The 17,174-nt window shown below is 40.3% G+C and overlaps 1 protein-coding gene across 1 annotated transcript in view; it reads right to left on the bottom strand.

Moving 5' to 3' along the window:
* The window catches only part of DNAH11 (dynein axonemal heavy chain 11), a 358,801-nt gene that overhangs the window by 24,674 nt on the left and 316,953 nt on the right, over positions 1 to 17,174 (bottom strand). The window contains exons 69-74 of the mRNA NM_001277115.2: positions 15,143 to 15,313; positions 12,509 to 12,631; positions 10,503 to 10,696; positions 9,159 to 9,307; positions 8,175 to 8,302; positions 3,665 to 3,892 (exon numbers count right to left, since the gene is read on the bottom strand). Of these exons, the coding sequence (NP_001264044.1) occupies positions 3,665 to 3,892; positions 8,175 to 8,302; positions 9,159 to 9,307; positions 10,503 to 10,696; positions 12,509 to 12,631; positions 15,143 to 15,313 (993 nt within the window). The remainder of the gene's footprint in view (positions 1 to 3,664; positions 3,893 to 8,174; positions 8,303 to 9,158; positions 9,308 to 10,502; positions 10,697 to 12,508; positions 12,632 to 15,142; positions 15,314 to 17,174) is intronic.

Below are 17,174 nucleotides of genomic sequence, written 5' to 3'. Positions count from 1 at the left end.
GGTATTTTACTCCACTGTGAGGGACACCCAGGCAACAGGAACAACTGGTCCTCATTTACCTAACCCATATGGGTAACAAGAGAGATAGCATTCATCAATCTATCCATACACAGGCTTTAACAAGATTGGACCACAGCAGCAACACAGAACACCCCAAATAATACAAGGAGATGTGGGAAAGGACATCTGTGATGGAGACTGCTGATTGCCTTCCTTAAAATGTCTTCTTGCTAATTTTTAGCTGGGCATATGGTTGCTTAAGATAAATTCACTTTTCCCAGCCTCTCTTGCAGCTAGGTAATGCAATGTGACTAAGTTTGACCAATGAGATGAAAGGAGAATTTCTGTTTGTTAACTTGTAGGAAGCACTTGCACAACAAAGCAAACACCGTCCTTTTCCTTTTGTCATCTTGTTTGTTTCTTCTTCCATCCTCCTGTCAGGAATGTGGATATGGGGGCTGCAACTCCTGCAGCCACCTGGGACCGTGAAAAGCCCATTCTAGAAATGGTGAACTATAAAGAGCCAGATTGATGACAATTTGTGGTAACACATGACTTCTGAATGGACTATCTGTAAAACTCTCATGTGGCAGGACTACTTTTTGACCTTGTATAAGCCACTGTTATTTTATAAGAACTTTTTTCAAAAGTAGCCAACCCAACATTCTAACTGATAAAAGGGCAATGGGAACATATTCACAGAGAGCCAGGGAGCACAGGCTAAATCCCTTGAATTATATAATCTGATTAAAAACTGCATTTTGTTTTCTAACATAATGACAGGTCAGCATTCATAAAAGACTCTAACATTTTAGATTTTCTGCACATTTTTTATTTTGTTGGTTGGCTCTGGCTAAGATAGGTTTGATGAGAAGATTATTTAGTGAATCACTTTGGTTATCTTTGCTTTTGCTACTTAACATCAAGTTCAGTCTTAATATTTCAGAGGATCCTCTCCACTAAATAAGCAATATTCTTCCTTGGGCCAGGTGCGGTGGCTCACGCCTGTAATCCCAGCACTTCGGATGCCGAGGCGGGCAGATCACAAGGTCAGGAGATCAAGACCATCCTGGCTAACACGGTGAAACCCCGTCTCTACTAAAAAACTCAAAAAATTAGCCGTGCATGGTGGCAGGCACCTGTAGTCCCAGCTACTCGGGAGGCTGAGGCAGGAGAATGGCGTGAACCTGGGAGGCGGAGCTTGCAGTGAGCCGAGATCGTACCACTGCACTCCAGCCTGGGCGATAGAGTGAGACTCTGTCTCAAAAAAAAAAAAAAAAAAAAAAAAGAAATATTCTTCCTTGAAGTTCCTAAAAGCCCTTCTAATAAAAGTAACCTTCAATTAATAAAAGTGGCTTTCCAGATAGCAGTCAAAAGAATTGACAGGTTCATGAAAAGACCAGAACAGGTGTTCTTAACTAGGGAATTCATGCATAGGCTTTGGGGGAATCTGTGAATCTTTATCATTATATGCAACATATTTTTAACACTTATTATTATTTTTTGAGACAGTGTCTCGCTCTGTTGCCCAGGCTGAAGCACAGTGGTGTGATCATAGCTCACTGCAGCCTCGAACTCCTGGGCTCAAGTGATCCTCCTCTCAGCCTCCTAAAGTGCTGGGATTGTAGGCATGAGGCACTGTGTCTGGCCCAATGTGCAGTATATTTTCGAACGTGTATTTCCCTGGGGAGAGTGTCCACAGTTTTATGAGATTCTCGAAGTGATCTTTACCAAAAAAACAAAACAAACAAACGAACAAAAAAGCTGAAGGATAATTGGGCTGAAGCATATTTGTTCATGAAATGTTCACTTTCATGAATAAAGATACTTATTTTAGGGGGCAGATAAGTCCTATTTAAATAAATCAAATTCCTCTTTGTATGTACTTTGGGAAATAGCTTGAAAATGTCATAAATAGCCAGAAATTATAAATTAAGAGATGATTAAAAAACATATATGTCTGTCATAGTGGATTAAATAAGGCATATTGCAGATACTTAATAGTTTCAAAAAGATTTTTTGAGTCCTACTATTTACACAATCTTGTGTGTATATATAGGATAAAAATTACTCAATTATTTAATGAAGTAATTAACTGCATTCTTCAACACTGTATTCTTAGGTAGTCAATTATCATAATTCCTTCATAATGTTGGTTTACGTATTGACCCAAAAGTTACGAGAAAAGAAGCTAAGGATGTTAACATGCTTCGTAGAGAATGATATTTCTAAGAGGGGGCTGAATATTTATCACCAAATCATATGTATTTCCTCTTTAGGGTTCATTCTACTGTCCTAACAAGAATGCGATTTACCAAGGATTTCCAAAAAATTAGAGGAAGGAAGGAAGATCTCAGAGCAATAGCAAGAAAGGAAACTGAAAGACTTGACAATGATGTTGATAGATAGGATAGTTTGGGTAAAAAGAGTAATGGTAATAAAGGTATCATATATATATCATATATATGTGTATATATATGTATATATACGTATGTATTTATGTATTAATTTATATATGTATTTGGCCAGGTGCAGTGGCTCACACCTGTAATTCCAGCCAAGGTGGAATTGGGAGGCCAAGGTGAACAGATCACCTGAGGTCAGGAGTTCGAGACCAGCCTGGCTAACATGATGAAACCCTGTCTCTACTAAAAATACAAAAGTTAGCTGGGCTTGGTGGTGGGCGCCTGTAATCCCAGCTACCTGGGAGGCTGAGGCAGGAGAATCGCTTCAACCTGGGAGGCTGAGGTTGCAGTGAGCCAAGATCATGTCATTGCACTCCAGCCTGGGCGACAAGAGCAAAACTCTGTCTCAAAAAAACCAAAAACAAAAAAAAACCATGTAAGTATTCATTTGTCTTATCTTGGAAAAACATGAACATATAAATAAGGTGTCATAGATATAACCCAAAAAGAGGCCTTTAAATTTACTCATATCAAACCGGGCTAAAACACTACACTGAAACTTTTACCATGTCATTACTGTCGCCATCATCAACAAGAATAACAATGGCTTCTTCTCTTTCTGTGGTCAGAGATACTAGTGTGCCACATTTGTTTTCAAGAAGCAAGTTCCGGCCAGGCGCGGTGGCTCATGTCTGTAATCCCAGCACTTTGGGAGGCCGAGGCAGGTGGATCACCTGAGGTCAGGAGTTCAAGACCAGTCTGGTCAACATGGTGAAACCCCATCTCTACTAAAAATACAAAAATTAGCCGGGCGTGGTGGTATGCAGCTGTAATCACAGCTACTCAGGAGGCTGAGGCAGGAGAATTGCTTGAACCCGGGAGGTGGAAGTTGCAGTGAGGCAAGATCATGCCACTGCACTCCAGCCTGGGCGGCAAAGTGAGATTCCGTCTCAAAAAAAAAAAAAAAAAAAAAAAAGCAACCTCCTCAAGAAGTTACCTAGTTAGCTTTCCCTACACAGTAGCTGAAGTTTTCTTAATGTTAGGGTGAGACTGAAATATATTTACTGGTCATTAGAATCGGAAATGACAGGGGCAATTCTTTCAAGAGATTAAAACACGCCCACCCCTACCCTTCCACATGCGAACATTAAGAACTTGCTTCATCCCTCTCAATGACATGCCTGGGTTGATTCTGGGCCCCACAGTCTTGTGAGATGACTCTGACTTCATTGTCTGCCTAGCCTGCTTCGCTTTCTTACCTGATCAAAGTTGTACAGGGCGGCATGCAAATTGGCCAGCATCCCTGTTGGGGGTTCATTAGTGATCTTAATGGAATTTTCCAGGAGTCCTTGAGGGATGATATGCTCATCTGGTGTAGGTGCAGACTCAGCACTCATGAAAACCCTGTAATCTCTGTGGCTTCCTTGGCTGAATCTTTCAAGGAGCTTCTCCAAGGTTCCTAGCCACTTGGCTACCAAATGAACATTCTGAAAGATAGCATGGTGCATAATTCCTGTGAAGGTGAGGCATATTACTTGAATTATAAGATTACATTTTCCTATATATAATTGCACTGAAAACTCAGAGAACCATGATTCAAATTTTCCTTTATCAATACATCATAAAAATTTTCCTTTATCAATACATCAATACATCAAAAAAAAAAAAAGCCAAAAGGGAATTGAACCTTGAACATATTAAATGTTCCCAATCAACACAGACTGTCTTTGTAATCCAAAATCTCCACGCAATACACATACCTACTTCAAAAGCCCACCAGTCACTTCTGAGATGGAGTTGCCTAGTACTTTTCTTTGTTATGGTTCAAATACAATTACTGAGACATATTGGGGTTAGTTTGAGAAAATATGAAAACTAAAAGCCAGAAATGTGCCTGACACCCTCTTCATTGGTTTCTGATGGAAACCTCTTCTACTCAAACTCCTACTCATAAGCATATGAACTCAAAAGGAAATAAGGGAAGCAAGGCTAGCTGAAAGCAAGCAATCATTCATTGTTAAGATGTTTTGTTTATTCCTAACAGATGATTTTCCTTAAATCCTAGGTCTGTTGAAAATCACACACAAAAAATTAAATGCCACCACCGTTGTCATTCTTTTCTTTTCCATTTTATGATTCACAAATTTGCTCTTCCAATACCAAACACCTACAGGTTATAGCTTGGTAGTTGGTGCTGGGAGGGAGATATAAAGGCTGCACCTTACATGTTCTCTGGCTTTGGAGAAGTCCTTGATACAGTAATTGAAATGTCACACCCAGATATATATAATTATTTCCAACAAAGAAAAACATTTAAGATTATAACAGCTACAAAAATACAGAGAATGAGGGCAAACATGGAACAAAATAATAATGCAAGTATCCTTCTTTAAAATTTCTATTGCAAAAAGATCTAAGCCCACTCAGTCATTCACATTATTGGCTTTTATTCCCTTGGCAAATAATGAACACTGGTAGATGTGGTGGGCAGAATTATGCACCCCCAAATTCATATGGTGAAGTCTTAACCCCCAGCATCTCATAATGTGACTGTATTTGGAAATAGGGTCTTTAAGGAGATAATTGAAGCTAAATGTGGTCATTATGAAGGTTTTTTTTTTTTTTTTTTTTTTTTTTGAGACAGAGTCTCGCTCTGTCACCCAGGCTGGAGTGCAGTGGTGCGATCTTGGCTCACTGCAAACTCCGTCTCCTGGGTTCACACTATTCTCCTGCCTCAGCCTCCCGAGTAGCTGGGACTACAGGCACCCACCACCACGCCCAGCTAATTTTTTTTGTATTTTTAGTAGAGACGGGGTTTCACTGTGTTAGCCAGGATGGTCTCGATCTCCTGACCTCATGATCTGCCCTCCTCGGCCTCCCAAAGTGCTGGGATTACAGGCTTGAGCCACCCCATCCTGCCAATGAAGGGTCTTAAACCAATATGACTGATGTCTTTATGAGAAGAAGGGATTAGGACCCAGAAACACAGAAGACAAATCACATGAAGACACGGAAAGTTGGCCGTCCACTCTAGCAAAGTAATACAGTAGGTAAGGACTCTAAGTTCCCTCCTTTACATGCTTACTAACAGGTTATAAGGAAAGCGTATTTCTCATTCCTAATTGTGCCAATCATAAAAGAAAACAACAGAAACAATAATAAAACCTGCTTTGTAAACTCAATTATATCTTCATTCTCTGTCTTATGGGCTACAACAGTACCTTACTTGAAAAGTTTACTTGAATCAAATGTAAAAATATTCTAGGTAGTGACTTTGGAGTCACTGAAGGGGACAGAAAAACCTCTAAGCAAGCCATCGTGGAGCACAGGCACACTTTGGAATCTAGCTTGGCAGCTATTCTTGAGGGTACTGGCTTTGGGACTGGCTAGATTCTTATGCCTATTTTTCCAAGAACAGCAATGCTTGTGCAACACTTTTAGACAATCTATATGTCTTGGAAATGCATGAAAAATGGTCATTTTGCCCTTGAAAAATGGTTTTTAATATCTGTTATGTTAATTCACAAGCCTTCTGGTGTGCATGTGAGATAAAGATAGTTGCCGGCCTGCTACTTTTATAATAGTTTTCTCTGGAATTTGGGCTTTCGATTAACTACTATCTAAACACCTTTAGAGGGCTCTATCTAATCATAATAATTGATCACATTGGGGCTTAGGTAAGAACTAATTAACATGTACATACATATCATATACCCACGTTAATGTAATTTAATGTAAATTATGAACAGTATAACAAGTTTTCATTATGTTTGCCTTCTCTTTCTTCAAAGTCCTGCTTCTCTTTTTCCTGCTGATCAAATGGATACTAGCAACTTCTAGACACTGGGATGGCCCAAAGCCTGGTATAATCTCTCCTTACCAATTACTGTATGTGGGTACAGGGGTGGGGAGTGAAGAGGTTTAAACAGTTAAATTCTTGGTTACTGGCATAGCTCTAACAACAAAAATCAAAGGTCTGAAACAAATATCCAAAAGTAGATCCTTGACAAAATAAGATCTTTTAAGTTTTTTTTATGTTAAAATTTACAACTTGCAATTTTAGGGGCAACAAATAGCTCAGCACAGATACAAAAGTAATGGAAATAGTTTATTTTGAATACGTTCTTTTGAGGATGACTATAGCCCTCCTAGTGTTCTCTCCAGTCTGAGCCACTGGGAGCATGAGAATGCTCAAAGAGCTCTTTCCTTTCTGAGACAACCTTAAAATTTACCTAACTGTCTGAGTGTCAACTGTTTTCTCTGAAAAAGCGAACCCTCCTGTGTTTCTGAGCCTCAGAAGGGGATGCACTACACTGCCCTCAAGTCCCCTTACAAAGGTCTCTATTAAGGCCTCATCTAAGCAGTGGGTATTATCATCATCCCAGAAGGTTACATTCCTGCAATCATAAGCCTGCTTGGACTCTGGAAGCTTCTTTATGAATCCAGTTGCATTTCAAGCAGAAATGCCAAAGGCACCGAGCCTGGATACTGGAGACACTAAGGGAGGCCAACGCTGTATCTTGCATGAGGGTGGCTATTTTCAGGAATGTCACCTGCTGCTAAACAGTCCTAGACTGAAGTACCAGCTCTGCCATCCAATCAGCCCTGTGGCCTTGAGGCTCTCCAGCCACTCGGATGCTCACTTTTCTCATCTTTATATAGAGAATCACGACTCCTAACCTAGGAGCTTTGTTGTAATGATTCCAGATAAGGCAGCCTGTGAATTGCCTACTGACGAGAACCTTTGCATGACTCAGCTGAAAACTAAATAGCCATTCCTAGACCTAGTGAGACAGCTAGCAGAGCTTGCTGTGGATGGAGTCAGCACATTCCTCAGGTGCCCCCTAATGCTGGCCTGTGCTCCACTGGTTCTTGTAATACTCAGCCAAGGGGGGCATCCCAGAGGACACTGGGTGGGAGAACCAAAGGTCTGTATGATGTTTGCCTGAGAAGGGATAAAGGAGTTGTCTACTCAAACCCCTATAATTTACAATCAAAGGGAATGTTACACACTAGGTAGGGGCAGAGTTGGACTTGTATGAGATAATGATTGATGCAGGAGCCAAGTATTGGGGAAGGTCCCCAGAGAATCTCTGACCTGCCTGTGCATTGGGAGAATGTGGTAGAGCCATAGGAAATTCACACCATTTGCAGCGGGGAGGAGCCTGGCCTCCACAGCTCCTGGGCAGTGGCCTGGTATTCAATCTGTGAGGTTGGGGTGTGTTAGCAGGATCCCCTCTCACTTTGCTGAGACTTTTTTTTTTCTTTTCGCTCAATAAATTCCATTCCCCCCACCCTTCAATGTGTCTGTGTTCCTAGTCCTTTCTGGTTGTGTGACAAGGACCTGGTTTTAGCTATGCTAAGGAGCAAAATTCTGCAACAACAATATACATTAAAAAAGAGTTCTGTCGACTCTAACGTCAACCCAGATACTATGATAACACTGTTAGCAATCTAAACAAGCCTGCGTGTTCTCAGGCACTACTGAGTGTTCCAGATATCTCTAAGTGAGGGGAACGACGAAGTTCTTCCTAATAGTTTTAATTTTAGAGTACAATGGCTAGACAGTCTCTCAGAAGATGACAGCCATCGCTGTCCGCAGAGCCCCTCACCATCTTTGCAGGCATCATGAACACTGACAGTACTGCTTGCACTCTGCAAATCGCCATGCACAGCGGTGTTAAGGGAGCATTCTGTTGGGCGGGCCAGCTCTGCCCTGGCCCTCCTCTGTGTTTATGCCCAGTGTCTTCCCTGAAACTTAATACTCACTTGGAGGATGACCCAGTGTCCTCCTTTGGAAGCTTTCTCCAGGGCCACTTCTGCCACCGTCTCCTGACCTTGTCCTAAAGACACATTGTGGAATTTTCCAGAGTCAATTGTAAAGCCAAGTCTTTTGCCTGTGGGAGAATACACCACGGTGAGAGGAAATGTCTATGAAGGAGGGTGAGAGGAGCCTGGAATTCTGTGGTCTAATGCACATCTGTGGTCACCGCAGCCATCTTCTGAGTGACTTTCCTGAAGAATCCCAAAGAAACTTCTGTTGTATCCACAAGCAGCATTTTGAGCTCTCCACAGCTGCCTCATTGCAAGCATTAGAAAAGCCGTGGAAGCCAGTTCCTTTGGTTTTATGATAATGAAGCTATTGACATTTTGATAGATGGCAGGCATTGTTATGGAGCTTTATAAACTCTTGCAGGAGTAGCAAAGCATTTCTCTCATAAAAAGGAGCAACATGTGGTAGATATCACATCATTTTTTTTGAATGGATCTGTTCATTGGGTAAATGCACAAGCCTCTCACCTTGTGAGACTGCATTTAAATTGAGCACAGTCAGGTCACAGCTATATTAACCTGGTATTCTTGGTGCAGGCCGTGGGGAATGGTAATCCAGAACACAAAGGCGACAGTGCCTTGCGCAATCAAATACACTTGCTCTAATGACCATTATTTAGTCACAGGGGGCACAAGATTACATGAGCATGTGGAAAATTGCCCTCTGGCCCTCATACAGTCAAAAGGTGGAAAACAGTACAAAAGAAACTTGCATTATGCCAGCCACATGAATGTTCCATTTCAACATTTCTTCAGACTATGGGGTTATTAGCTTTACATTTTCCATACACCCAATCTTCAACAAATTAAAAAAAAAAAAAAAAGAAACTAAGATCACTGTGAACTGAAAAGAAGGGCAGGGGTGGGGGTGAAAGGGAGGGAGGGAGAAGGGGCGGGCCAGCGAGCCTCCCAGCCACTCACCAAGAATCTCCAGGTCTTTAAGGGCATCTACCCCCGGAGACAGGATGAAGAATATGGGGGTGGCTGGGCTGCTTTCTTCGAATGCTTTAACTAAGTCCAATCTGGTCCTCTCCACATACTTCGCACCCAGTTTTTCCTCTACAAAATTTCTATAAAAAACAAGAATATAAAAACATGATCAGTGGTTTTGACCTTGAAAAGAGTCACCATTTGGATAAGCTTAAACCACACAGGCACACGATAGAAGTAACCAGGTTTATTACATGGGATGTCTTGTTAGAATAACAATATGAATCCAGCTAGATGTATGCGGTAGGTGTGTCAATGAAATCCTTCTCTTCCTTAGAAGCTCTGAAAATCAGAAGCCTACATTCCATTTTGGGGGGCTACTGAGACCCCCCTGAGTGCCATCAGCTGTCTGCTATGGCTTTGTATCCCCCAAATCCCCTGCCAGATTCCCCCATTACTTATTAACAGTTCATTAGATTTGCCACAGTGCAATTTTCCAGCCTGCTGGGCTTCTCATGAATATACAAATGCTTTTTGGGGTGTTTCTAACACAGGGAGGCTCAATTAAGCAAGGATTATTTTCCAGCAGCATCAGATTTAGCAGAAAGTAAGTACTACTAAGCAGAATTAACTTGTAAAGTAGAGTTCAGCAGAGGTTTCTGCAAAGGGAAAATTGGCTGAACTAGACAAAGCAAAGGAAAAAACCTGAGGCACATGAATATTACTGAAGAAACACAATAGGGAAGGAAGTTGAGAACTCTTTGGTTGGTGAATTCAAATTAGAATGAGACTTGTGTGAATTAAGCAGCACATTACCATTTAGAAGCCAAGAGGGCAAAGAAAAAGGACACTTAAACCAAGATGTAGACAAGGGTTTCTGCTTTGAAACTGCATTGGTTGTAAAGTTATAGGGACTATGAGTGACTCCATGAAAGGAATGCATTTTTGTTTGACATGCAAAATCTTCAGAACCAAAATGCCATCACTGAAAGAAAACGATGGAAATTACACTTGGATAATGCATGAATGCATGTTCCTGGCCTCTGAACTCTGCTGACACCCATTTCTCTTCCAGGAATATTTCCATCAGTCCCCTGTCTCCAGTACTGATTTCAGAATTAAGCTTTTTTGGGAAGAATGTGCTGAGTCTGCCTAGCACATGGTTTAGTGTTTAGCAAATTTTAACAGTAGCAGTGATTATAATATCAAAATCTCAGCAGAATCACTCCCCATCAAAATGGATGGTAAACACTTCCACCAGATCCTCCTAACTCTTCAGACTACATTTCCTCTATGTTAACTAATACATGTTTCCAAAAATGCTGACCACCCCACCTGAGAGCATACGTCATTCTGTCAGGGCGCATTGCTCTCAGAAGAATCAGCTTCTGTATTAAACTTTTCTTCTTCCATTCTTGAGGTAATTTTTCTTTTTCTGGACACTCGGATTCTACCCACTTCCTCCACTGCTTGGCAGATCCTTCCACATCTCGGTCTATGCCTCGAAATTCTTCCATGACGGCAATTGCCTGTAATATGATAGGGAAACAAGTAGGAATGGTGTGAACGATACTTTACAGTTTGAGAAGAAGACTTGTGAATGTATCTAATCTTATGTAAAAAAACTGTGCTGGATAGTATTCACTCTCCTCTTCAGATTTCCTTTTTTTTTTTTTTTGCTCTGCTGAGAGGGTAAGCTCAAAGGACACTTGAGCTGAGTTCCCTGGTTCCCTGACCTAGTTGGGTTTGGCCAACAGAAAGCAATGGCAGGAGCCTGGAAGACTGGAGAAGAGAGAGGTGGGGGTACTTCTGTCAGAGGCGTTTGAACCACAGCAACTCCATCTTGAATAGGAGCTGGGTAAATTGAGGCTGAGACTTGCTGGGCTGCATTCCTAGGAGGTTAAGGCATTCTAAGTCACAGGATGAGATAGGAAGTTGGCACAAGATACAGGTCATAAAGATAAAACAGCTTGCAGTAAGGAAGTTGGCTAAAACCCAACAAAACCACGATGGTGATGAGGGTGACCTCTGGTTGTCCTCACTGCTACACTGCACCAGTGCCATACAGTTTACAAATGCCATGGTAACGTCAGGAAGTTACCCTATAAAGTCTAAAAAGGGGAGATATGAATAATCCACCCCTTGTTTAGCATATCAACAAGAAATAACCATAAAAATGGGCAACCAGCAGCCCTCAGGGCTACTCTCCCTATGGAGTAGCCATTCTTTATTCCTTTATTAATAAACTTGCTTTCGCTTTACAGACTCACGCTGAATTCTTTCTTGCACGAGATCCAAGAACCTCTCTTGGGGTCTGGATCAGGACCCCTTTCTGGAAACATTTCTACCCCAGCTCTTTCTCGTGGGAATGTGGTTTGGGAGGGACTATGTTTCTCTGCCACAGGCCACAGATCCTCTAAGGTTGGCTCTCTCCCATAACTTCATTTCTTATGAAGTTCCAGTAACTGTCCTTTTCCTCCTTTTTCCTTCCCCATCCCCTGGTTGATTTCCTAATCCTTCTTGCCCATACTATGAAAACAGACTCTTGGTTAAACTTTCTTCATCAACCTTTTGAATGTGCCATCTGTTTCCTGTTAAGACCCTGACTGATACACATTTGAATTTGAATTTTGAATTCTAAAGTTACAATCTAATTACAAATACTACTTTAAAAAGCTGAACATATATAAAAATAAGAGGTAACAGTTATTTCCAATGCACAGAAATGTTTCCTTCTTAGAAAAAAGAGTAGGGCAAAGCTTAGCATATGTTGAACATCATTAAGATACTCCAGATCCTGGAAGAATTAACTTCTAACAATAGGGCCTTTGACAGAAAAATGCAATGAGGATTGATAATTGAGGTTTAAGGCAACTGTCACTTATTTCTCTAAAATATTCTGTTTTTCTTAAACATTTTACAATGAGAATAAACGACTCCACTGTGGTGTAATTTAAAGAACTATTTAGAAAAATGGTGAAACGATTTAAAAAGAAAACAAATTTTTAAGGAAATTTAAAAAGAAAACAAATTTTAGATTTAAGGAACTTTTTAAAAATATTCATTTGTATCACTTGGCTTTTATCAAAGGTCCTGACAGATTGTACATATTTATTAACTTTTCCACGCATACATAAGCCAAAAGCTCCTTTACATCTAAATGAGAAATTAACCAATTGAATAATACAAAGATTAATAACATCACATTATACAGTGCATTTCTACAACTGAAATGGTGCTTAATACATCACCTGTATTCTTTAATGTTTACATTTCAACACTGGAGAGAGCTAATATTTTAAATAAGATCCAGAATTTGAGAAACTGTATTCCTAACATACCTTGATAGCACTCCATGACTGAGAAGTTAGGAAGTCAACGGGACTCAGATGAGTGTGTTCAACTGTGAATCGAAGCAGGAAATCCAATTCAAGAGGGTCTATCTCTTTCTTTCTCAACAAAATCTTGAGAGTAGACAAAATTGAAAAGGATTATTAGGTTTACATGAAAATCGTCACACAGGAAGTAGTCACACATTTAACAGACATGACTGAGTAGGCAGAACCATACCTGCTGGGAACTCCACTTGACATCTGTTCTACTGTTGAAATAGGGAATCTTAGATTATGTCAATGATCTCAAAACCATGATCAGAAATCTAACAGGAAATAATTATGAAGGCTGATTTATTCCAATTCTAACACCTATCACTATTAGCAACATATTTAAAATATGCATTCGTATTAAGTGTTTTATTATTAGATCAAACTTGTCTTAACACTTACACAAAATGAGAAAGCCTCCAGTGACAATGGATTAAATTACTAAACAGAAGGTAGAACCAGTATTATTAGTTAATTCTGGTATAGTAGTTATTCAATAAACTACAAGGTACATGAAGGATTTTTTAATATGTAAGATTATATTGAGAAGAATGAGAAAACCTTTTATAGGTATAACTAAACACATTGTGAAGTGGAATAAACTTTAGACATTCTGGTCACAGAACTGATAAAAAACCCAAAGTATATTTTGGAGAGTACAAATGAAGTATTCCTAATTTCCACATAAAAACCATAACACACCACAAAGCTAAACAGGTAAAATTTTTGAGCTTTATATTATCTTAAAATTCCAGATATCTTCAAAAGGTGTTATGAGTGATAACATGCACTAAAATATTTTATTAGATATTATTTTTTCTTGAGTTTATTTCAACAAACGTAATTATCCATATAGTTATGAAACTTTGATTTATATAGATTGTCAGGACTTAAGATTATGATATAGCTATGGCTTCCAAGGGGAAGTTTTAAATAGATGTTCATGTCATGTATTATCATCCCTGGTCTTTTTCTATTAATGAGCAGTACATACAAAACAAGTATTTCATGCCTGTAATCCCAGCACTTTCGGAGGCAGAGGCGGGCAGATCATGAGGTCAAGAGATCAAGACCATCCTGGCCAACATGGTGAAACCCCATCTCTACTACAAATACAAAAATTAGCTGGGTGTGGTGGTGCACGCCTGTAGTCCCAGCTACTCGGGAGGCTGAGGCAGAAGAATCGCTTGAACCTGGGAGGCAAATGGTGTAGTAAGCTGAGATAGCACCACCGCACCCCAGCCTGGCGACACAGCGAGACTCCGTCTCAAAACAAACAAAAAAACAAGTATTTCATTGTGTAATGCCTTGCTCCTGTTTATTACATACACAGTTCATCATTAGCTGCAGATATGTATAAAGTGCCTTCTTTGGCACACACAGAATAGGTAAGACATAGACCTTTCCTTAACATTTGGATAGAAAAAGACATAAAGCAAAATGGCTGATAAAAGGACAATCTGCTTATTTTATCTAGGAATGTGGTCTGCAAGGGTTTCTTTTTTCTTATCACGAACGCTTTTTCTTTTCTTTTTCTTTTTTTTTTTTTTTTGAGACGGAGTCTCGCTCTGTTGCCCAGGCTGGAGTGCAGTGGCGTGATCTCAGCTCACTGCAAGCTCTGCCTCCTGGGTTCGTGCCATTCTCCTGCCTCAGCTTCCCAAGTAGCTGGGACTACAGGTGCCTGCCACCACGCCTGGCTAATTTTTTGTATTTTTAGTAGAGCCGGGGTTTCACTGTGTTAGCCAGGATGGTCTCAATCTCCTGACCTGGTGATCCTCCCAAAGTGCTGGGATTACAGGCGTGAGCCACCGTGCCCGGCCATGAACGCTTTTATTTAAACAAAGTCTTTCATAGAAATTCATGTGAAAAAGGAATAAAAAGGAAGCAGGTTTCACTGAAGGTGTGGGTAAGAAACCTGGAGCTCTCTTTACCTAGTCACTGCTGTCATTTTCTTAATTTTAATTGACAAATAATAATTATATATATTTAAGTGGCACACTGTGATGCTTCGATACATGTTTATATTGTAGAATGGTTAAATTAAGCTAATTCATATATCCATCTCCTCACATACTTATCTTTTTTGTGATGAGATTTAAAATCTACTCCTTTAGCAATTTAAAAATATGCGTTATTAATTACACACAATGAAAAAAGGAAAATTCAGTCATTTTTGACAACATGGACGAACCCAGTCGCTGTTTTGTAAGGAGCCCAGCTCCACTCGGATCTGGACTCATAACCCTGATCTCAAAGAACCTTCCTGGTAGTGCCTGGAAGTTTCTTTACAGGACCCGAGAAGGTGAGAAGAATGTCTTATGAATATTTTTCAGGGTGACCGCTGTGGTAGGAGCATAATGTGTATACCCACCCCACCGGCCCCACTCCCCAAACCAAAGCACTGGGACCTAGGAGAAGGCTGTCACATGCCCAAGTTCCCTGTGGGAAGCAAATTCCCCTCATGCCACCAAGGGCTTCCAAAAAAAAAAAAAAGTCTATTATATTTTGCTTCAGCAGAAATAAAATATATAATAAACAGAGGCATCTGCCTTTGGTTCTGGGGATCCTTTTTCAAGTAACTGATCTCCTTACCTGAAAAGCCATCTGGGACAGGAAGGTGAGCTTGTCCTTCTCAAACAGCGCCTGGCTGGTGTAGAGGAAGACAGCATGGGTGATGCTCTCCATCAGGATAGAGATGCGTCCCTGCATGTCTTCCACCTTGTCAGCCTGCTCGATCGCTCTGTGGAACAGCACGTTAAAAGCCTGGGAAATTTAATGTGACCATTAAAATGTGACAACTGGTGCCTGGATGTCTAGCTACCCCCGATACACAGGGCAACAGTTTAAGGTTTATCTATAGGGAGTGAGAATGAGGCAAAATTTTTAGGAGGATTATAGTTTCTGGCACATGGTACATGCTCATTAAATGTTTGCTGTCATTACTGTTATTATGAATATGATTCCATGAAATCCATTCAATCTCCTTCCAAGCAATTGAATTGCATCATTTTCTCTCCTTCTGCCCATGTACTTAAAATAATATTTTAGTATTTGATTGTGGTAGGATACACATAACATAAAAGTTACCATCTTAACAATTTTAAGTGTACATACATTCAGTTCAGTAGTGTTAAGTATAGTCACATTCTTGTGTAACCACAAGAAATGTGGAATTTTTTTCTCATGAACATAAATTATACCGTTTAATGCAGATTCAAGGCCATACATTTTTGGGGGAGTAGGTTTTACTTGCAGTACAGATTCTCTTCACGTAAGATTACAAAAGTACAACACAATGTGATGAGCTCAGTTTAAAAATTACATGCGGCAGTCCATACTAACACAAATAGCTCCCAAAGAGGAACAAGAAAAGCTAAATCCAGTGTCACTAGGATGCCAGAGCTTTTTCATGTTGCAAAACTGAAGCTCTGTACCCATTAAACAACTGTATATTCTCCCTTCCCCGCATCCCTGGCAACCACTTTTATTCTACTTTCTGTTTCTATGAGTTTGGCTATTATAGGTACCTCACTGATGTGGTTTGGCTGTTTCCCCACCCAAATCTCATCTTGAATTATAGCTCCCATAATTCCCATGTGTTGTGGGAGGCACCTGGTGGAAGATAACTGAATCATGGGGGCAGTTTCTCCCATACTGTTCTGGTGGTAGTGAATAACTCTCATGAGATCTGATGGTTTTATGAGGGGAAATCTCTTTCACTTGGCTCTCATTCTGTCTTGCCTGCTGCCATGTAAGAAGTGCCTTTCGCCTTCCACCATGATTGTGAGGCCTCCCCAGCCACGTGGAACTGTGACTCCACTAAACCTCTTTTTCTTTATAAATCACCCAGTCTCTTGGGTATGTCTTTATCAGCACTGTGAAAACAGACTAATACACTCATATAAGCAGAGTCACAGTCTTACTGTGACTGGCTCATTTGAATTAGGATAATATCAAGGTTCATCCACGTTGCAGCATGTATGAGAAATTTGTTCATTTTTAAGGCAAAAGAATATTCAACTGCACGGATATACAACATTTGATTCATCTATTCATCCACTGACGGACATCTGGGTTGCTTCCACCTTTTGGCTATTGTAAATAATGCTACTATGAATTTGGGTATTTGGATATCTCCTAAAGACACTCTTTTGATTCTTTTGAATAAACAGCTAGAAGTGGAATTGCTTGATCATATGGTAATTCTATTTGTAATTTTTCTGAGGAATTGCTACACTGTTTTCCATAGTGGCTGTGCCATTGTGCACCCCCACCAAAAGATTCCAATTTCTCCACGTCATTACCAACACTTGTTATCTTTTTTTTTTGATAGTAGCCATTCTAATGGGTGTGAGGTGATATCTCATTGTGGTTTTGAGTTGCATCTCCCTAAAAATTGTTAATGTTGAGTATTTTTTCATATGTTTGTTGCCTTTTTTGTTTGAGACAAACTTTCATTCTGTCATCCAGCCTGGAGTGCGGTGGAGTGACCGTGGCTCACTGCAGCCTCAACCTCCCGGTCCTAAGCAACCCTCCCACCTCAGCCTCTTGGGTAGCTGAGACCACAGGCATGTGTCATCACACTTGGCTAATTTTTGAATTTTTTTGTAGAGACAGGGTTTCT

This window comes from Homo sapiens, chromosome 7 (assembly GCF_000001405.40).
Source record: "Homo sapiens chromosome 7, GRCh38.p14 Primary Assembly".
Lineage (NCBI taxonomy): Eukaryota > Metazoa > Chordata > Mammalia > Primates > Hominidae > Homo > Homo sapiens.
This window is presented reverse-complemented; position numbering and strand designations above follow the sequence as displayed.